At 34.1% G+C, this 24,136-nt stretch overlaps 1 long non-coding RNA gene across 4 annotated transcripts in view; it reads left to right on the forward strand.

The window, feature by feature from the left end:
- LOC105378797 (uncharacterized) overlaps positions 1 to 24,136 on the forward strand; it is a 396,491-nt gene that overhangs the window by 261,922 nt on the left and 110,433 nt on the right. For 3 of the 4 annotated variants that reach the window (XR_001737670.2, XR_947505.3, XR_947506.3), the window contains 2 exons: positions 10,356 to 10,543; positions 13,006 to 13,131. This is a non-coding gene — a long non-coding RNA (uncharacterized LOC105378797). The remainder of the gene's footprint in view (positions 1 to 10,355; positions 10,544 to 13,005; positions 13,132 to 24,136) is intronic. The other variant, XR_001737671.3, reaches the window with a different exon arrangement.

Genomic DNA, 24,136 nt, shown 5'->3' on the forward strand with positions numbered 1-24,136 from the left:
TCTTGTTTGTTTAATTTAGTGAAATTGGGAAGTGCAGATCTGTCAGGTAATTAAACTTATAAGAGGAATATGAAACATTACACTTGTTAAATTATTGTCAATGATTACATAATGAATAGAAATAATAAAGCAAGAATTAGATTATATTCATTGATATAATTAAATGCTATAAATTAAGCAAAATTATTAATTGTACCAGTCCTTCATACAGGAAACCTGAAGATTTTTATGAAGTTAGCATCTCAAATATTGTACTGTTTGTTAGATTAAGAAAGTGTTAGATTAAGAAAGCGTTCAAAATGTTGAAAGTGGTAAAATCAAATTATGTAGAGAATGTCCCATAAGTATAGCTTCACAGCAAAATCCTTGAAACATAGAGGATCTAGTCCCAGGTAATATGACAAAATTTGCAATGCCACGTTATGTAAGTTTGGGATTACCATCACTCCTTATTCTAGAAAATTTCTAGTGATGAAGAATTTATGAATAAAATGCACCATTGGATTTCAGAATGAAAAGCAAAAATGATCAGAAGATGTTAAAGATATTGGTTGTAAAGCATTGACTTGAATTCACCCTGATATTAAAATCAGTCCCAGATACATAAGTCAATGGGCAAGAAACAGTACAGCAACCTTTCATCTAGCTAAATAATGGGGTTGATATCAATGATAAAATAAATCTGTGGACAACTTCTAAACTTTATTTTTCTCTAAGTCCAAGATTTTCTTCTTGGAATTGATACAACTTTGGGAAATAAAATGTCCTTTGGAAAAAAATAAAACTAGTCCTTTTTCCCATCTTTCAGCCCTGTCTATTTTTCCAGTCTCTGAATCGATTTCTCCAGAGCTGAAATCACATGGCCTTAGTATGCAGGCCTGGTCCTGCCCCTTTGTGGTGTCAGTTCTGACTATTATTTGCGAGCTATTTGAGGAGCTATAGCTAATACTTAGGGAATATCAGCATAGCCTTATTGTGATCTGACTCTCAACTCATACCCTATTCTGGTAACTGAGCTTCTGATTTTTCCTGCCCCTTTCAGGCCTTTACTCTTCCAAACATGTTTCCTTTGCTTACATATTGACTGTATTATTGGCCTGCTTCCTCAGTCTTTTTCTTTTATAAATTGAAATAATGTTCTTTTGCTCTTTATGCAAAATAATAAAGTTGCCTACAGTTAAGAATGAAGTAGTTTATTTCTAATTGCCATCAGAACTAGCTTACAAAACTGGGATTAGCAATCAGTACGGTTCTTAATAAGCAACTCACTTCAATTGAAGAGTTCTTCCCATCCCTTACCCACCTTTACTATTCATAACCCTAAACCAGAGGCTAAGACCTGTTCACCTGCCAAGAGACAGCTTTAATGCAAACCGTTTGCTTTACTGCCCAGAGTTCTGTTGCTAATTATTCCCCATTCCCCATAATTGTGATTCAGTTAGTGGTTGGGCCCCTCACTCTGCAGTGTAGATTTATCTGCTGGTTCATTGCTTGAAGTATGTGACACTCCAATATTCAGGTAAATGAGAAATCAAAGGGCTTGAAGGCATGGTGAAAGGAAGTAGCTGCAGATATACATACAGCTGCCATTGTGTTCACTATAGAAGGCATCACCCAAGGGTGTATTATGCAATTGCCAGGTTAATTAAGGAATGCTATTACTAACATTATCTGCCACCTGACAGAATTAGAAATTAGAATAAACTAAAAATCATGAAAAAAAATTGTATAGTTTCTATCTTTGAGGATGTTATATTCTAGGTATAGAGGCACAGGAAAAATGAGAAACTTATAAGATAGAAGACTTACAGAATAATTTTTTAAAGTTTTATTTTATTTTTAATTGACATAAAATAGTTTTTTTTATAGTAAGAATCTAATTGCCTCCAGTTTTAAAAGACATACCAACATTTTTGACAATTAAAGTAGGATGGCAGTAGGGGTAAGATAAAATGTTTGAAAGATAACAAAATATGTAATTGTTTTACTTTTTGCAATAAATGGTATTCTGTGTCTACTCCAAACAAAACAAAACATGCTTCTTTGTTCTCTCTATGTTCTCTCTATTGCTAGTCTTAGCACTACACTCATATAAAAGGTAGAGAGTGGTACCATCACTGAGTACATGGCACATATCTGATATGTAAACAAGCAAGCAATCAAAACACCCAAGGCTGACACTAACTCTGCAGTGTGTAATACAGTCAACATTTAAAATCTGTTTCATAATCCAGTCAATCATCATCAGCCTAAACTACAGGAAACAAACAATGCATAAATCTTATTCTGAGACCTTAGAAACAAAATACTTCTTAAATGGTAATACAGTTTTCTAAAAACTGACGATATCTGTTGCTCCAAAGAGATAACTAGGTTGAGCATTATAGCAACATCTGTAGAAACAAAGTGAAACCATCAGTATATGTCAACAACACTTGGCAGTACTTCTCTGCATCTAGTTGTATCAAGTAATAAGAACTCTGTAGAAAAGAGCTGTTAAAATTTCAAAAATAGTGGAATACTCATACATGAATCTCTGTCATAATAAAAAGCAATATCAGAGAATACAGCCCAAGAAAACTTAGTACGATTAATTCATCAGGGAGAAAAATTTGACTCATTCTTCAATGAGGGAAGCCTCTGGGATCACATAAACAAAGAGCAGAGAGAGGAAAGAGCAAATCCCTGGGGAACAGCATTAGCATAATTGAACACTTAAATGCATAAGAAACAAATTGAGACCACTTAAGTAAATAAGGAGAAAGCTATGTAAAGACAGCATCAAGATGCTACAATTGATCTTTAACTGTTACCATCTCTAGAATTAAGTAGGGCAGATACCTCTAAGGACTAGTTCCTTAGCATTAAGCTAAATGGTTAGGCATGTGACTTTCTGCAGGGACAGCTTGCTTTGAACCCAAGTGCTAGCACCTGGCAAATGTTATAATCTTGGGCATGGTTTTTCTTTACATCATAGTTTCCTTATTGTATATAAAGCAAAATAATAATGCCACCTCATAGAATCCCATGGGTTTTAAATGAGTTAACTGGATAAAATATTTAACTTATGGTGCATGGCCCATCGTAAATAACCAATAAATGTATTATTGTTATTAAAGGTATGAAAAGGCATATCAGTTTAAAATATAAACTTATATAAGTAAGTGCAAAAGAATGGTTTGGTAATTAATAGAACTTTTCTTTATATTACAAATCCAAATAACTCATAAATATCTAAATCAAGAGCACGTTAATTAAACCTCCATTAAAACTTGATTTCTTTACAAAAAATTGAAAGGGAATTGAGTAACTTGAAGTATAAATCTTGCAATATTATAACCCAAGAGACAAAATTAAGATGGTAAGATGTCCAAATTATCTGATTTATGAACTGTAATGACTTTAAAATACAGTAACAATTTTAGTTAGTATAACCAGATATGTGGACACTAATTAGCAAGTTGAATGTTGCATCAATGGTCTAGTCTAAGAAGTAGTTTTATCCATTTAATAGAAGTGATCATAGATAAGCTGTCTGTCGAAGTACAAAATATTTCTAATAATGTTATAAATATTAAGTTTACAAATTGGTAATTTTTTTAATAACGCGAGCACACCAGGTAACAGTGCCAAGAGCATGGCATAGAAAATAATCTATACCACAAAAGCCTCTCCTGTGCCTCTTCCTCAGTCATCATATACCTTAAAGGTAGTCGCTATTACGACTTCTATCAACTCGATTCATTTCAATTGATTTTGACATTTACCATGAAATTATATAGGACGTACTATTTTGTGTTTGAGATTCTTCTGCTCAGCATGAATCTATGAGATTGATATGTACTGTTGCTAGAAATAGTACTCTTCTCTATTTCATTGCTGTATAATAGTTCATTATATAAATATATTGTGTAATATGTTTATTTCCTGTTTTATTATTGAGGGGGATTATTGTGAATTATTCTTAATGATCATTCTGTACATGTCTATGTTTTTATATATATATATATATATATATGAATTTCTATGTGGTGCCTAAGCAGGAATTGAATTGCTTGGTCATAATATATGCATGTATTTAGGTATAGAAGCTGCTGATAACGGTTTTACATACTGACTGTACAATTTCCATCACCATCACAAGTGAATGAAAGTGCTGTCGATCCATTCATGTGCCCCCAATTGGTATTGTGAATTTTATTAAGTTGTATTCATTTAGGTGACTATATACCAGTATCTCATTGTGGTTTTAATTTACATTTTCTTAATATTTTATTACATTGAGCACTGTTTCCTATGCTTGTTGGCCACTAGGATTATCTTGTTTTCATGTGTGAAAAGCCTACTCAAGTTTTTCATTTTTTAAGAAAGTTAATTGGTTTTATCATTTATTCGTAAGATTTATTGAATAAGGATCCTTTACTGGATATTTGTATGACAGATATTGTCTCCTTTTTGGAAGCTTGCCTTTTGAATCTCTTAAAAGTATATTTTAATAAATGAAAGTTTTCAAATCTGATAAAATCTAATCTGTCAGTTTTTCTTTTATAATCAATGATCTTTTGTATCCTGTTTAAGGAATGTGTGCCAATCTCAAAGTTATGAGTACCTACCTAGGATAATTTCTAGAAATTTCATTCTATTACCTCTTACCTTATTTCTAGAATGCATTTCTAATTGATTTTTCAGCATGTTGCTTCTAGTACAGTTTGAAGTTAGCTTTCGTTTTTCAGATGAATATCATTTTAAAAGACTTCTTGAAGTTGAGTAACATCTAGAGAAATTTCCCTACTACTCTTCTTTTGAGGATGCTATTGTAAATACTTTTGGGATTCTAACAATTCAAACATGTTTTTATAGCAGCAACTTTTCTTTTTTAATATATAGTCCCAATTACTAGGATTACCAATATAGTAGATATTTGGTTTAATCTACTCTTTCAAGATAACTTCTTTCAGGTTTTATTGAACCACTGCACAAGAGGGAAAGAAAAGGCAGATTAAGTAATGTTTCAAATTCATTGCTTTGTATTCTTTCAATTCTAATAGCGTTAAACTGATTAAACAAGTGCTTTTATAGGGATTGTTCACCAAACTTTTCTCTAGGAAAAGAGACATAGTTATGGCCTCAAAAACCAATGCTTGCTTGCATATGCACTATTCTAAAGATTATCAACATAATCAACATATGCTTATTGCAATAATTTATAATTGCATTATAATTATCAGATCTAAGTATGCACTGCCCTTAAGTAATGACCATTTTCTGTAAGTTGGATTTGTTAATACATTCACCCATATATTCATTCAACAAATATTTATAAAGCACAGGCTCAGTTAGGTTTTGTGGATGTATCACAAACATTTATATATTATATAAAATTAAACGGATTTAAATGTCATTAAGTAATTTTCCATATATAAAACCTTCTTATTTTTTTAACCATGCAAAGTTTTGTTTTAGATTTTCATTTAAGTGTGACAAATGTTATTAGTAATTAATGAACCATAATATAGGAAATTGATTGCTTTTAAAGTAATTTTCAGAATTGTGTTTTGAACAAATAACCCTTTGCCCCCAAAAACTTCATATACATTTTAAAAACATGCATAATTTCTGCTGCATTTTTCTATATATTTGAAACCCACATTTTATTGAAAATAACATAGTATGTTAAACTGTGATTAATATTTAAGAAAACAAATGGTTATATAATGTAGAATAAATTCAGAAATAGAATTTGAGATTATTTTTAATTGTGATGTAAGTATGCACAATATAAAGTTTTAGCTTCTTAAATGTAAATATGCAATGCTACATTCCAGTGATATTGCATTGGATTAATGATGCAGAAAAGGTGGTTTACAAAATAAAACCTTATATGCAAAATAGGATATATAAAGCAAATAAAGAGAAAATAAATAAAGCATTTTTATAGTACTACAAAGCATGCTGAAACAAAATAATTAAGTAGTTAAGTCTTAGCTTAATTATAGCTTAGCCAACAATTCAGTGTTAGCTTAACCAAATAAAGTAGCCTTAAGGAAATTTGGATTTAGATCCTGCCTCCATTGTTCATGTAGCAAGAAGTGTGGTCTTGTCAACAAAAACTACTCAGCCACCACCAGATTGAAATATGGGCTGCCTAACCAAAGGAAGACAAAAAGAATGGTGTATGATCAGTTTGTGAAAATAATTGTATATTAGCATAGAAAATTACACTTACTACAAAAAAATTGAACCTGATCTGCAAGGATGTAGAACAGATGAAAATTTTGCAGACTATAAAATGAGGAGATAATGGGAAAATTCTAAAGACACGTTTAGACAATCAGTGAAACTATTCTTGCACAAATCAAGCTGTGTAGATTACTTTGTATGGAACAGAATAGGGAATGATCTTTTTTTTTTTCTTTAATTATAAGTTTAAGATGAAGAATTTTTCCAAGTCTTCATTGTATCCTCACTGCCTAATGAATATTCATAAAAACCTTAACATCTCTCTTCTTTCATTGTTTTAATCTAATTAATCATTAAGCATTAGGCAAATAATCATTGAGATGTATCTGTTGGAACTGTCACAAGTCAGATTTACTCTTATTTCAACGATGGTTGAATGAAATGCAAAGGCGTTATTGGTGCCCTCGACTCTAATCTCTTGGCCACTTCATCTAAACCACACAACATATTGTGACAAGTCTATTGTTTTATTGTAGCATTTTGCCATATGAAGCTACCATCATTTTCACTTGTATCAAATATAGCCATTTATCTTTTTTTCACCTTTACTTTCCAACCACACTTCTGCCATTGGCTGATATGTGCTTTTACTATTATTATGATTTCTCATTATTTCTCTTTTACTATTATTATGACTTGATCATTATTTCTGTCATCTATTGTTTATAGACATAATTAAGCTATGTGTTAATTTGGTGCTTTTAAGTGATATTGAGAATTCATTGTCCCCTTATAATATCATTTCCTTGTGAAAATATTTTGAATTCTAATAAACTGCTCTTGCAATCAGGTTTGTATATATAAAGTGAGCACTGAAGATAATACATAACTTACAGTTGTTATTTGATATGTTATATTTTCACAAATATTAACTATCTGTTTCTTATTATAATGCAATCAATTTTTTAAATTACTTTTTATCTGATTTATCCTCCTATTGCGTACCCAATTCTGCTCTGTAGTTTCAAGACTTTATAAACTTCAGTTTTGTGTTCACTCATTTAGTCCACGAGTACATATGAAATGTTCAAACTGAAGCAGGAGATACACTGGAAACTGGAAATTCACTAGTGAAAATCACAGATGTACCCTCTGGACCCAAAGAGCCACTACACTTCAAGAGAAACACTTAGATGTGTTGTATTAGTTTTCTATTGCTTTTTAAACATATTACAACAAATTTAGTGACTTAAAACCCTCGTTTATTATATCACAGGTTTGTGAGTCAGAGGTCCAGGTACAAGGTGGCTCTGCTGGGTCCTCCACTCGGGTCCTCCCAGGACCAAAATTAAATTATTTGCTCTCCTTGGCTTTTATCTAGATGCTCTGGTTAAGACTCAACTTCCAATTTCATTCAGGTTGTTCTCAGAATTCAGTTACTTGGAGTTGTATGACTAAAGTCCCTGTTTTCTTGCCACTTCATCTTTAAGCCAACAAGTACACACTGGATTTTTCTTGTGCTTCAAATCTCTGACTTCCTCTTCTGCTATCAGAATGAGAAAAATCCCTGCTTCTGATGGTGCTTCTGATTATATTAAACCCATCCACATAGTCCACATAGCCCATCCACATAGCATAATCTTTCTAATTTAAGGTCATTTGATTGGTAACCTTAATTACAACTGCAAAGCCCTTTAGCCATGTAATATATTTATGAAAGTATCGCCAAGGAGCAAATTACAAAAGCCAAAATTTTGTCTACCACACATGTAGACTGAAACATCTTTATATGTATCTTCATGGTTTTCAAGAACAAAAATCTGGAAACAACTCTAAAACTTATCTTAAAAAATACAAGTAAACTGTTATAAATTGGCAAGCTGAAAGTTTACCAGAATTTAAAATGAATGAGATATAACTACAAACTATACGATGCATCTTAATAATAGATTGACTTAAATCAAAAGTAAACAAAACTAAAAGTGGGAATCTTAAGAAATAGAAATGACAAATAACATAATTTAAGACAATTATTGGGCCAGGCCTGTAATCCCAGCACTTTGGGAGCCCAAGGCAGGCAGATCACAAGGTCAAGAGATTGAGACCATCCTGGCTGACATGGTGAAACCCTGTCTCTACTGAAAATACAAAAATTAGCTGGGCGTGGTGGCGCGCGCCTGTAGTCCCAGCTACTCTGGAGGCTGAGGCAGGAGAATGGCTGGAACCTAGGAAGCAGAGGTTGCAGTGAGCCGAGATCACTCCACTGCATTCCAGCCTGGCGAAAGAGCGATACTCTGTCTCAAAAAAAAAAAAAAAAAAAAAGACAATAGTTATCTCCAAAGAGCAAAGTAAAGGAAAATATGGGTCAGAAACTCATCAGTAGATTTAAGGTAATATCAATTAAGTATTTAAGGTGATATATGAAGATAGACAATTAGAATTCCTAGAATCAAGTGGTGGTGCAGGGAAGAGCAGTTATTGTTGCTCTGGAAATCTGTGTCAAGTCTCTGTGTCTAGAGAATGATAGAAGAAGCTGTTGTGACTTGAGCATAGAGAAGGTCACAGATAGGCTGGAGAGGCATGGCCCAGATGTAGTGAGAAGCAGGGAAGTGGCATGATTGAACATATTTTTAAAAAATGACTTTGTTGATAAAAGATTTGCAGTTGGGCATTAATGGAAGTGGAGAAAACAGATAGAAAATTATGTCATGAGATCACAGAGACCCCTACAGAGTCTATTGAAAATGAGTGTAATTAATAAAAAACAACAAAGTACTCAAAGGAAAACTACCACCATGATTCTAAGATGTTTGACTTGAATGAATGAAAGAATGGAATTACCATTTACAAAGATAGGAAATAGAGAAAAGAGGAGATTTAAAGGGTCGTTGGAACTTCAGAATTGCATTTGAGCTTGAGAAGCTTATTGCACATCCAAAGGGAGATGTCAAGCAGGCAATTGTGTACACTGTTGTGGAATTCAGGGAAATGTCAGAAATGAAAGGTAAATTTGTGAATTTTTAGAATATATGTAGTACTTAAAAGTCATGATTCCAGCTGAGGATGTATGGAATCAATGTAACCTGAGTAGTCCTGGGACTCCCCAACATGGATAAAACTAATATATATATAGATACTCATATAGTGAGATATATATACATATATAAACATGAATATATATGTACACATATATATACTCATAGTGAGATATATATACATATATAAACATGAATAAATATATATACATATATACTCATATAGTGAGATATATATATAAACATGAATATATATTCACATGTACTCATATAGTGAGAGTTAAATTAAATTATATTAATTATGTATAATATATAATACATGAAGAAAATGTATAATATAAAAATGAAAAATCATATGCTTGTATATACAGTGGGTATGTAGTAAAAATATAAAAATTATGAACAGGAAATAATTCACAAAATATCAGGATAATGGTTGCCTCTGAGAATGGTGGAGAAAGAATGAAATTGGGAAAAGTATACAAATGGCTTTCAATTTGGGCTTTAAAGTTTTATTTCTAAGAAAAACAATTTGAAACATTGGAAAGTTGATTACATGGCAGGTAAGAAATTAGACAAAATGACATAGTGCATTTAAAGAATTCTATTTAGATGTTTGTCTCCAGAATAAATGAAGTAGAGAGATAGGAACATAATTGAAGAAGGTTATTGCTTTTAAGTTTTTTTTTAAAGTTTTTTACTGTTTTGCATTTTTCGTTTGTTTAATTTTATAAGAAAGGTGGTATGTAATCATGCCTTTCAGTGCTTATGGAGAAACAGCTATTGTTAAGAAAGAGATAAATTCATCATTATAATGGAAATGGAAATAGGAGAAGATAGTTGTAGCTGCAATACATTGATGTATTTGCTTTTGGCAAGATTGACCAGTTCCTGTTTTTTGGCTTCTATTTTTTTTCTAAAGTATGAGGCAACCCAATAGCTGAGATTTACAGCAATGGAGGACGCTGGAAATTTGGGAGACATAAAGGTTTGAAATTGTAAATTGTGGAAAATAGCAACACAAATTATTATAGAATTATTCTTAAAAACCTATGTGGTTTTTAGAACTTAGTTGAAGTTGAGGATATTGGTAACAATTGGCAACAATTTATATGGGTAATAATTTGTATATTTCCCCAGGAAATCTCAGATGGTTGTCTACAGTTACAAGGGGGATTTTTGGACTGATTTGTGATTTTTCTGGGAATGCAACTCAAGTTAGAAGAGGCCATTATCTGAAAGAAGAAGAAGCACCAGCTGATGTGTTGGTTATTTTAGGGCGACATTTGCAGTTGCTTGGGCAATATCATGAGCCTCACCTCATGCAGGTAAGATCTGGATGGGCACTAGATGACAGTGCACAGCTTGTATTTCTTTCAAAGGAGCGTTCACTTTCAACTACACAAGGCATGATTTCTAGACTATTTTCTGAAAGGCTGGAAAGTGAATGTGAAGTTCTGAAGACTTGGTCCCTGGCTCTGCAACCAAATTTTTTTTCTTCCTTCAAAACAGCAATGCTTTGCTCCCTGAGTGGGACTGGCATCGTGGAAATTCAGGAATTGGTCAGATTCCAAGTTTTGTGAGTTTCACCACTGAATATAAACCTCAGTTCATTAAATAAAAGTTTGTCCTATTCCATGGCAATTTATCTATGAAAATTGCTGTTTTAAATGTTAAATGAAGTTGAAGTGGTTTGTCACTCGTTGTCTCCCTTCAAATCCAATAATTAAATCTATCGGCACTTCGGACTGTTGTTATAACATGGAACATGGCTACGTAAAATGAAGGATTATTGTGTCCTTGATCTTCATTTATTGTCCAATAAGCCATATGGTTAGGAAAAATAATATTTGAGATTCATCCTCATTTGTTCAGTAAACCATTTTACAAATTGCATCATTATTGTTTTGGAAGTACCTTTATAAAAATGTGTCTTAAGCTTTAAATCCCATGTATTACTCATGATTATTTGCAGACATCCACTCAAACTAATTTAGCAAATAAAGGTATGTATAGGCTCACATCACATATGGAGTTCAGTAAAGAACTGTCTTATATGCAGGCCACAGACAATAGTCAAATTAGGTTTTTAAGACTTTTTTTCTTTGCCATTATTTCTCCTTTATACTTTGCCTCTTGTCTTAACTCTGGTTGCTATAACAAAATAACATGCACTAGGTGGCTTAAAAACATACATTTATTTCTTACAGTTCTGAAGGCTAAGAAGTCCAAGATTAAGATGCCAGCTGACTCAGTGTCTGATGAGGGCCCTCTTCCTGGTTTTCAGATAGTCAACTTCTTACTGGATCCTCACATGATGGAGAGAGGAAGCTTATAAGAATGCTAACATTATGGTGGCTTTATTCTCATCACTTCATCTAAACCTAATTACCTCTCAAAGGCCCCACTTCCTAATGCCATCACATTGGAGTATAGGGTTTCAACATATACATTTGGGAGGATACAGCATTCAGTCGATAATCTTTCTCCTTGCTTTCCTCTTTTAGACTCTTACTGTAGATGAATTTCCTTAATGTAGCAGGACATGACTGTCAATATCCTGGGCATATGCCTGTACAGCTTTTAACTGTCCTGTAGAGATGACACTAGCACATACTTTGCTAATGTCATATGATACAAATTTAAAATAGAGGTTTTTGGAAAAAAATTATAAATGAAGCATACCCAATTCCCTGAGCCTGTGTTATTCCACAGAGAATTGTGCTTAGGCCAAGTATATCTGATGGTAAAGATAGACTCTAGTAGAAAGGTCACACCCTCCTGAGTCACTCTACATATATATATGTGTGTGTGTATGTATGTATATATATATATATATATATATATATATATATATATATATTTTTTTTTTTTTTTTTTTTTTTTTTTTTTTTTTTGAAGCGGAGTCCTGCTCTATTGCCCAGGCTGGAGTGCAATGGCGTGATCTCGGCTCACTGCCACCTCCACCTCCCGGGTTCAAGCAATTCTCCTGTCTCAGCCTCCCAAGTAGTTAGGATTACAGGCACATGCCGCCACACCCGGCTAATTGTTTGTATTTTTAGTAGAGACGGGGTTTCACCGTGTTGCTCAGGCTGGTCTCAAACTCCTGAGCTCAGGCAGTCCACCCGCCTCGGCCTCCCAAAGTGCTAGGATTACAGGCATGAGCCACCGTGCCTGGTCCCACTCTACATATTTATAAGGAAAGAGAGTCATACACATCTAGTCAATTATATTAAAAATAGGAGATTACTGGTCAAGAAGAGCCTCTAGAACTAAGTGGCTTGTATGAGCCTGCTCCTCTCTTGATATGGATAATTGAGACATGCTAAGAAATATCTTTTTCTTACTGCATAGTCAGATTCATCTCATCTCATAACCTAAAAGGAAGACATATGTCTCCACACCACTTCTATAGTTCTTGTCTCCCAGCAGCTTGAACCCACTCTTCTTCATTCAGCTTTGCAATTCTGGTGCTGAGACTCTGCAAGCTATGTTTTTGCTTTGTCAGCTGGCTCCCTGTGAAGCTCTGCCAATCTTGGGCACTAGAGGGAGAGAGCAAGGCTGGAAAGGGAAGAAGGAAGACTTGTTCTTTTCTGTTTGTTCCCTGTGTACTTCTAGACTGCTTCCTGTTCCTGTGGGTATTACCCCAACAACAATTCCCAGCAGTAGCAGGGCTTTCCCACAGCAGCAGCTGAATTCAGTTTGCAGTTTCTTCCACACTGACATATTTAGCCTCATTACTTGCCTCTCAGAGCTACCAACAACACCTGCCTGTGTCCTCTCTTTACAGGTCTGGGTCCCAGACCCAAAGACTGCTCCTCCATACTCAGAGATACCAGCACTAACAGAGCAGCTCCTCTTCTTCAGTACAGATGCTTCTCAACTTACAATGAGGTTATACCCTTATAAACACATGGTAAGTTGAAAATATCGTTAAGTCAAAAATGCATTTTAATAGCTCAATAAATCCATAGTAAAGTTGAAAAGTTGTAAGAAAATCCAAGGCAAGTAGAGCACTGTCTGTAGTCCATGTTTCAACTCTTGGGACCCATCCTCTAAGTTTCTACATTTTAATTGTTTTAGCCTCTTCCCTTTGTTCCTTTAGCTATAAGGGTGATAGCTTCTTTCTATAGTTGCTACCTCTGTAATACCTTACAGCTCTCTTTTGATCCTTTCAGTTACTTTAACAATATTTTTATATAAAATAATCCTGTTCAATAACTGGCAGTTTCCTTCTTTTGACTAGACCCTGATACACCCTTCAAAATTTATTCATAAAAGTTCAAGATAGGATTCTAGTAGCTCAGGCTCAGGTCATATATCTCCCTCTTGGCCATTTGCTATGTATGATCCAGTGGAACTATGATTGACATAACCTAGGCCAAATGCTCGGGTCTATGGCTGAGATGAGGGGCACTATGATTGATAGTTTCAGAAGGATCATATGGATTTAGAGAAATTCTCCAAAGAAACAGATTGCTGTCCCCAGAATAATAGGGATGAAATGCCTGCTGAGGTGGGGGGGCTTTAGCTACCACAGATAGCTAACATAGCACTGCCTCTCTACCTATAGGTATATATGTTTATTAATGGGTCCAAATTAGTAAGGTATAAACATGATATTATGTTCTACTCTAGTCATTGCTTTTAGCCATATCCTGCAATACATTTTATTATCCCTGAAAATATATTCAGCAGGTTTTAATACTTGCCATCACTTTCAATTAGAACAAATCGATGTGGTTCTAAATTTCAACCCTATCTTCAGCTCAAAGTTTTTATCCTTCCTTTGCTATCTGAAATTATTGTTCCTCATCCCTCCACAGTCATAGGTGAAAGAAAGAAGGAAAGAGACATGTTTGTCATTGAGATACCTCCTCCCTTTGTTTTCTGTAAATTCTGTGTCCTGCAGTGTGTGCTAGAGCACATTGATAGGAGAGGAAAAATTACCAATGCCTCTTCATTAACCAGTTTTGTAGATTTCTTTGTTGGTTAATTGCAACAGCTTTTTTGGCCACCACAGAGATCCTCTGTGTGGTAAGTGTTCTAATGAACTGGGCACATGAGTAAGTTCTCCTGGAGCTGCTGTTCTCCTCACTGTATATATAGTTCCCTGATTTGGGAAAGCTGGCTCAGGCATTCTTGGCAGTCTAGCTCTCTGCCTGTGGCAGAGTATTTTACCTAGCAGGACAACTTCACATGGCGGTGCCAGCCAAGTGGCTCACATAGAACTACTTCTAGTTTCCCTTGACTGACAGAAAATTCAGACATTCATATCAAGTCATCATCATCAATGTCACTGCTTCCTCCACTTGATATTTAAATGAGGAAAAGTTAGCCACAGGGAATCAGCATCATGGTAAGATATTGTGATTGTTAATTTTATATTTCAGTGTGGCTGGGTCATGGCTCCCAGATATATGGTCAGACATTATTCTGAATGTTTCTGTGAGGGTGTGTTCGAGTGAGACTAACATTTAAATTAGTTGAATTTGAGTAAAGCAGATTATTTCTATAATGTAGGTGAGCCTCATCCAATCAGTTGAAGGCCTGAATAGAACAAAAGACTAACATTCAGCAAGAGGGAAGTCTGCAACAGATGGCCTTCAAATTTGAACTGAAACATTGAATTTTTCTGGGTCTTCAGACTGATGGTCTTGGGCTTAAACTGCAGCTTTGACTCCTCCCTAAGTCTCCAACTGTTTCAATGTTTTATTAGAAAGCAGGTACTTTGCATCTCTTTGATGCAGTTTTCGTGATTTAGGCAAAAGGAAAATTTCCACCCCACCTCCTATTACACAAAGACTGCCTTTTTTTTCTTGCATATTTATAGAGAGTAGTTTGATTTTACTAGAATATCTTATCATAATGATGGACTATAATATTGCTTTTCTTCTCCATTTGGATACCACATTTCTTACAACTGCTTCCTCAAGTCCTGTGAGTGGAAACATGTATCCTGTTTCCTCATTGAGGAAATACAGCAGGGAAATGTTGGGTAGCTACCTGACTAGAGTGCAGGCTTGGCCTTTTATACAGGAGCAAATGTTAGCAGGATTATTGGCTTCTTTGTGTCTCTGGGGGAAACTTACCCTGTGTGATTTCTTTCTTTGCTGTGGGGGCAGCTACTAGGAAACAAGATTATGTGCAAATTTACTAATGTAGGCCACAAGGGTAAGTAAAGACCATGTATAATCTTTAGAAATACAAGCTCCCCTTTAGATTTTCTTAGCTGACTTCTGCATTTGGGCATCACATATACATTCTCCTTAATTTACCAATTATTAGAGGGGCTGGAGAATCTAGTCAATGTATTTCTTAATGCCTTTAACCAATGTATACCTTTGTGTATGAGAATTATATTCCGGGAAATGAGCTTGCTCTGACTCTTTTAACTGAACATACATCAAAATGTGCTGGTAAAATATTGAGGAAATGTTGAAATAGCATAATTGAGAGCATTCTTCCTTGTTTGGTCAAAGGCTCATGGGATACTCATGTGATAACTACAAAATTATTTTCTGTAAGAAATTAGATCAGCATGTGAAAGTAGTGAATCATGAAAAATTTAGTAAAACAGGCATCATGGTAAAAAATAAAATTATTCCTAACATTAATTTTGAAATAGCAGAGAATTGTGTATGTTTTCACTAAGAAGTGGAAATGCATTTGGACCCATTATCCTTACATGCCAAATAACGTGAAACAATATACGTTAATGTCAAAGAGTTTGACAATAGTTAAAGTAGCCTGCAGCAACTCTCAAAACCTGACCTGTTAATGTTGTAAGGGTTATGAAAATGAAATACTGCTCTCAAAAGTTGTTTTCTTCAATATACATATTTTCTTGTGGAAAAAAATAAGTCCAAAAAAATGTCAATATAAACATCTGGAGAGGTAAAATTTGAAAGTTCTGTTACCTTAAGTTCGAGCTTGCCATTACCACTATACTACATTGAAAAGAACTTATTTTAGAACATTGTAGTTGTTGGTGTAACCAAAGTAGGTACCTCGATAAAGTATCCTATTGTAAAGTAGCATAGTAAAGGAATAGCAATTATCAAAGGGGAAAATATCTGGCTAGTGGCTCAATTCTGTGAACTTTTCAATGTTACATGACTTAAGTGATGCTGGGTTTTGACAGTAAACTGAGATATGATATTCAAATGTAGATGCTGATACCATTGTGTGTTGCATTATTGTCTGAAAAGGTAAATATTTAGGTTAAATTAAATGACTTTGTAGGCTGGTAAAACATACAATATAAATTTGAGAATATGGGGATTTAAAAAAATCAACAAATAAACACATGGAATACTTTATAAATTACATTATCTAACTAGATGGGAAAACCTACAAAAATATCCAATTACGTTATGCATATTTAATGTACTAACAAATACAATACTGTCATAATGCATGAGTATAGACAATTTTCACTGAAATTCTTAAAAACCTTGCTTTCCCAAAATTTAAACTAAAAAAGAGAAGCAACCAAAGGTATTTGTTGGTGCCATACTATGATAGATGTTTTCATACTGCGCTGAGAGAGACAGAAAGCCTTTGCAAACATTAAACATAAAAGGTATGATGGAAAGTGAACAACTTTAGGCATTGCAATTCTGACCTCGCTATTTGCCTTTTGTCACTTTAGGCAAGTGCCACTTAATTCCTTGGAGACATAGATTATTGCTCCAGAACAAATGAAATAACATGTTTACGGGTGGTTTGTATGTTATAAAATGGAATATGGAAGAAAGATGCACATACAATTATAGATCTCTTCTGCAGTCCATACTTGACTGGGGGACTTAGAACATAAGAGGGGCCGATGATGAGGAGGAATGCATATGCTAGAATATAATTTATATTAGGAAAGCAAAATAGCACATTTTAAAAATACAAATAGAGGGAACGTAAACTTTCTGTTTTCAGAAGAGGGCATGACTTTTTAAAATATAAGCGTTATGGATTTAATATACCCTATATTGTTATATTCCAATGTTTGGAAAAAATGTGCATTTATAGAGTAAAATCCACTGAACTTTATAATAAAGGCTATAAAATATTATACTTTACACTAATCATAGTTTACTATAAGCAAATATTTAACTTCATAAATAAAGGAACACTGAATAGTCACCTGATAATTCAATGGACACTTTCATATATTCATCCAATAAAATTAACAATAATGTTTATAAGGCTATAATATTAGAAATCAGAATGTTTATTCTGGACTCTCTTAAACTGTAACAAGAAGAGAATTGTATTTAGCACAATTCCAGGCACGTATTCCTCCTTTTGTGAGGAGCTGTGACAAAGAGATAAGGACTGTGATTTCAGAGGGTTATGTTGGCAGGGAGGATCATTTGTCTAGAACCTGAGTTTTAATATAATTGCAGGGGAAAAGGGTTCTTGAATAAGAAGAGTTGAGAGGTGAAGTGAATACAAGCAGGGAACATCATAGTGAGTGACTGCATGAAAAAAAAGATTTTAGTGGCTTCTATGACAGCCTGTTTTACTGAGAACAGTGTATTAAGATAATTTTTAGGAAGGTTTACTGGCATTTGCAGTGGGAAATGTCTATCTTATCTACAAGAAATCTACTCTAAATATATGTATTTTAGTTCTTAAAGGACTTAGATTTAGATTTAGGGGAACAGTTATTTGTTTTAGAAGTAGTACAGAGTTTAAATTGGCCGCAGAGTAATCTACATTATACTCAAGATCAAAAAAGAAAAACATCTGTATATTTCATGACCTACTACTTAATTGCAGGATAATATAAATGTTTTCTATAATTAGCATTGTTGAAAGGAATTCCATTAACTGTACATGTTCACTCCTGCAGGGCACTAAATATTGGGTTCTACATGCAAGTTACTATTTATATACATACAAATTTCACTTTGCTTAGTCATATCTGCCCCAAATCTGCCCCAAAGTTATAACATCTTACTTCAGTATTTGTGGGGTGGAAACATATTTTATTACAATTTCCATTCTGTTATTTTTCTTTTTTTTTCTTTTTCTTTTTTTTACATAGTGTATGATTTTACTCATGTAACATTCTTGAAATGATAAAATGATAGAGATGGACACAGATCAGTAGTTGCCAGGGGTCAAAAAATGGGAAAGGGAGGAAGAAGGCATTCTGTTATTTTTCAAATTTTCATCTATCTAGCAGTTGTAGAGTAAAATTCCAATAACTTAATTTTTCAAATCCTTATAACTACATTTTTTCTATAGGAAAAATGTTTTATATAGTAGATATATTTCAATAATATTATTTTGCCTCATTATTAAAATTTCCAACACAAATAGAAGTAGCTTCATTTTGTTCCTAACAGTTATTTTGATCAACTAATAGAGATTTTTTAAAGACAATCCTTAGGTATTTTAAAAAATAAATTTCAATAAAATTGAAGTATTCAATGGAAGGTTATATACAAAAAAGGAAATAAATCCTCTGTAGTAAAACTGAACAAAACATCTATGAAGCAATTTTCAATCTGAATTATAATTTAAAAAAATATTTTTATCAGGAAAAATTTCTATTCCATAAATGAGTGATCCACTTCTCTGCAACTGTAAAGCCATACTGCCTATATGATACCACCATGTAATGGTTAATCTTCCTTTCCAATTTATGGTGCAAATTTTAAAAAGAGCACTGTCTTCATAATACCAAAGTTAAAATTATTTTTCTGCTACATTTTGAAATATTGCATTTTGGCTTGGAAATAACTTAATAAAAATAGTTTAGTCATAGTAATTCTATGCCTAAACAATGTTTTCAACTGATTTATTTTGCTAGTGCTTTAATACTCATTTTAAGTACTCACCAATCTTAAGTTGCTGCATCCAAGATATCTGGAAATGGCATATAATTTAATTAATTTTATGAGTATGATTTGCCTTTTCTCTTTTATTTTCATACATTTATGCATGTTAGCTTCTTTGGCTGGAGTATCTTCCTAAACAATAACTGCTTGTCACTTCTCTAAATCATGCTTCAAGGCTTAGTTTTAATGCTAACTCCTACATGAATTCTCTTTTTATTATTTCAGCCTGCAGTGATTGCTACTGCCCTCATTATGCTATGTAGTCTTTCTAGTTATATTCAATAATTTGAAGACATTCAAGTCTCTACTTGATTATGTATAGGGCTTTTTATATAAGCATCAATTTTTGTTGAAAAAAGTAAATTGTATGAAGAGCCAAAGGTTAAATTTCTCTAAGGTATCAGTACCAGGAAAATTTACAATTCCCATGAGCATTGGGTATATTTTTAATCTCATAGACATTGGCCCCTGTAATGGATCTTATTTTCTTTTATTACTGTTGCTCAGAAGCCCAGCACCAAATTTGCACCTCATATCTTGAAGGTGTACAGCATCTCATAGCCTTTTAAAAAATATGAATATATTAGCTTTGCCACTGTTTTCATCCCTTTTTAATTTTTTTGTTCCCTGTGTCCTGATTTTTTTATTTAAATTTTTAGAAAATTCCTGATGTTCTTGAATATCTATGTAATCCACCTCAAAATTTCTTTATATCAAAGTGAAGCATATGCAAATAAATAGAGAATAAACTGTGTGAAAATAATTGTTTTTACCTGGAAACATTTCAAAAATGGGGGGGATCAAGAAAATAATGAGATGCAATAAATATATTTGGACTTCTATATGTATTTCTTATTTTAAAAATAAAAGTTAACTTTAGAAATATTTAATTTGCAAATCAAAGAAGCACATACATGCAATTTACAAATAAATATACATATACTGCGTGCGTACATGCGTGTGTGTCTCCCTTTCGGCACTGGAGAGCCTCTTCTATCAGCTGCTGGGAGTGTGACTGACATATGAAGACTCTCATACCAGTCCTGTCCTGACAGTGCCCTTAGCTGAAGAAAGTTGCCTTGCCTAAGGCCATGCCTTCTCTTTGAGAGTAGCCTGCATCCAATAGCTAGTTGATACGGAGTTATAAAACCTGATCCCTTTGCCATAACCCAGTACAGTGAAGCAGCATCCTAGCTTCAGAGTTCCCTCTGGAGTTAGTTGGCATTTTTGCTACGACTGTCTCAGTATACACCTTCTTCTGTTGATCAATCCTGCCATTTTATTGCTCTATAGTTGTAAATCCTTACAGCACTTCCTAATATGCTTTCCCTTTTTTTTTTTTTTTTTTTTCTTTTTTGAGACGGAGTTTCACTCTTGTTGCCCAGGCTGGAGTGCAATGGCGCAATCTCAGCTCACTGCAACCTCAGTCTCCCGAGTTAAAGCGATTCTCCTGCCTCAGCCCCTCCAGTAGCTGGGATTACAGGCGTGTGCCACTACACCCAGCTAATTTTTGTACTTTTTGTAGAGACAGTGTTTCACCATTTTGGCCATGCTGGTCTTGAACTCCTGACCTCAAGTGTTCCGCTCACCTCAGCCTCCCAAATTGCTGGCATTAAAAGCGTGAGCTGCTGCACCTGGCCCTAATAAACTTTCTATACCCTAACCTCTATCTCAGAGTCTTCTTCTCAGAGAGTTCAATCTCTACATAGACAGACAGATACATACATTTATACATACAAACATAAACGGATTGACAGAGAGGCCTGCCATCTGTCTGTAGCACAAGCTAAATAGTCCTGAACAAAGTGAACAGACCTCTGTGACACCCGGAGATCACCTAGAAATCCCTGGGTCTAAGTTATTACTTTTCATTATCATAGGAATCTATTTAATTTTCATGTTACTTTATAGTTGAGAATGAATTGCGTTCTGGCCTATAAAGGAGCTGATTTTACTGACCAGGAGGTGACAGTTATGGTCACTAGAGCCCTCTGCTTGGTTTTGAATCTCAGCTCTTCCATTTACTAAATGTGTGATCTTTGACAGGCATTTACCCTCTCTGGGCCTCAGTTTTCTTATTTGTAACCTGAGGATAATAACAATAACTATTTAACAGTGATTTGGGAAAAATACAATGAATTAATTTAAAGTGCTTGGAAAAGAATTGGACAAATGTGTTAGCTATAATCTTTATGTAAAAAAATTACATCTCAAAGTCTCAATTACCCAGGTCAGTACCTTAAGCAATTAAAAAATCTTAACTAGTTGTTTCATATGGCCTGTATAGACAATACTCAACTGAGAAGTAATTTAGAGCATGACATAATTAACAACAATGAAAACATAGACATGGGAAATTTTTTTGACATTTTAGTAATGTAAGAAAAAAAATCTAAGCTAAGGTGCTTGGGAATTCTAATTGACTGTATTTGGGCTATCAGGTTACAGTTATATTTAAATAGATGTTCTGGGTAATTCTGACCAGAAGTTAGAAGGAACTACCATAGTGGTTTTAAAACATATCTGTAAATTCTTGTAAACATCTCCTATCAAAAGTCAGTGTCCCCTCCACAGGCTAGCCTTTGGGACCACCAAGATGAATAGAATGTGGCAGAAATGACACTGCATGGTTTCTGAGACTATGTTAGCAAAGACCAGGTAGGTTTTCCTGGTCAGCCTTTGAACACTGACTCTCAGACCATCAATCACTATGGAAGAAGTCCAGGAATCAGAGAAAAGAAATCAGAGAAAAGACCTTTACGTGTTAAAATGTTCATGTGCTGCATTGTGTGATTGTTTTTAAGAAAATCACACAAGGAACCATGAAGCCACCTTATTTAAAGTCCACATAGAGCGAAAGATGGCGGAGGAGGCCTAGCTGCTCCCTGTTGAAAACTTACTAATCCAGGTACCGGACATGAAGAAGCTTCAGGATAACCATATGCAAGAACCAGAGCGAGAACTGCTGAGCCAGTCATTCCCTTGAATTGGGCAAAATAAATGATTTATATCATAAGCTACTCTTTTGCAGACATTTGTTACAAAACATGAGATAGCAACAGTAATACTTGTTTCTTTTTAGATCCTAAATTCATTAATTAGTTTTTATGTAAAAGAATGAGTGTAAGAATCAAAACTCAAAGACATTCATAAAAAATAGTTTTCATTTTTTTAAATTTTCAAGATACTGTTAAATATCTTGAAATTGTGTCAAGCAATAATTAAATATCATTTTTCCTGTCTTCTCAGCTTCCACCACAATGCAGACTTCTTTCTTTCATTTATTTCTGAAGTCTGAATAGGAGAGGACCCCTATCATCCAGTGTGCACACACACACACACACACGCACACACACAGACACACACACACACTGCATTTCTCACCCCATCCCTGCATTTTGGTGGGCAAACATGTTTTCTATTATTAATATCCAGACACACAGCCTGGTCGATTCTTTGAGGAAGTAATATGGTCTGATTATCTATACTTAAAATTGAGACAATTGAGACAATAATGACAACAAATTATAACAGCTTTTGTTCATTTGAGGTCCTGAGAAACTGAATTTCTACCCTCCAATAGAATTATTATGAAGTAGAATATACATAATATTTCAGGACAGAAAAAAAAAGAGTATCTTGTACATTCTGTGCTTCAATGTTCTTCATTGCTGTAACTTGTGAAAATTATATTTTTGGAATAATATGGCCAAGCTCTTATAATTCCAAAGAAGAAGGAACACTAGTACAATTTCTGAAGCCTGTTCTTTCTCTGAGAGAAGAAAAAAGAAACATGGCTAGTTGCCAAGAGTTTCAGTTTGCAAGCTTGAGATTTGCCAAGGAGGAATTGGCTCAATAAAAGTCCCTGTTTTCTAATGGAAATATATATAGATTTTTCAATGCTAGAATAAGCATTTGAAATTATACATTATATCAATACTTTCTGCAGCAATTAGCAATTGGACCTATTTATTCCTGTGTGGGAGAGGTTGTGCTATTGGTATATTTTTTTTTCCTGAATCTTTCTGTGCATACACATTCTCAAAACACTTTAAAAAGAGGCTGCTTTAATGAATGTACTATGTTTGTTGATTGTTTCTTTAAACAATAGGAGATAGAAGATGAAGGATTTAATAAGGGAGTTAGCTTAGTTTTAAACTGTAAAACTTATGTTTTTATTGCATATAAGCACATCTTTATAAATGAATTCAAAAGCATAATTCTGTGAGGCATTTGAAAACAGCCACCAATCCTCTGACATATGCTGGAATGTGGTTTGTCACCTGTAGAAAACTAATTCTGATTAGCACTAAGATTAGTCATTCTAGTCTCCACTGGGTTGCAGTTTTTAAGCTTCACTAGAATCTTCCCCAACTTTTGGCACCTGGGTGTTATGCATACCTGTGACCACAAACTGAAACTGAACCGATGAAATTGACATACTCAGAATGGAAACACTAATGTTGTCAGTTGAGGAGAAGGACTCTCAGAGGAGGACCAAGTTAATATGACAACTCCACTGAAGTGAATTACCACTAAAGAAAGACACTCTAGCATATGCAAATTGTTTTTCATTGTTATGCAGAATATCTAGAAGGAGAGAATACCATTAAGTTTCTTTATAACATCTGATATTATTTTCCTCAACATTCCTTCTAGCAAGTTTGCTAAAGACTCATCTTGGGGATTGTGAAATGCCAATGGTTTTAGGTGTCCAGACACATGAATACTCCAGAAAGGAAAATAGATGCATGTGTTAAAATGAGTGACAGCATTCTATCAGAATTATCTTGGGTATTAATATATCTTCCGGCCCAGATTCAAGGTAACAGCTAAACAACCACACCCCCACAGATAAACAAACATAGAAGAAGTAGATCTCTTCATACCATCATTTAGCTCTATTCTTCCCTCTCTTTGGGAACAGAATTTCCATTTCTTTGGAACAAAATGTAGTTTTCCATATCTTGCCCTCCTACTTTGTATTTTCCTGATTCATTTTTAAGGCCTTGGACTTAGTAAATTGTCAAGTTAATTGTGACATAATGAAAAATTGAATAAACTCAGGAAACA

Source organism: Homo sapiens, chromosome 1 (genome assembly GCF_000001405.40).
Source record: "Homo sapiens chromosome 1, GRCh38.p14 Primary Assembly".
Taxonomy (NCBI): domain Eukaryota; kingdom Metazoa; phylum Chordata; class Mammalia; order Primates; family Hominidae; genus Homo; species Homo sapiens.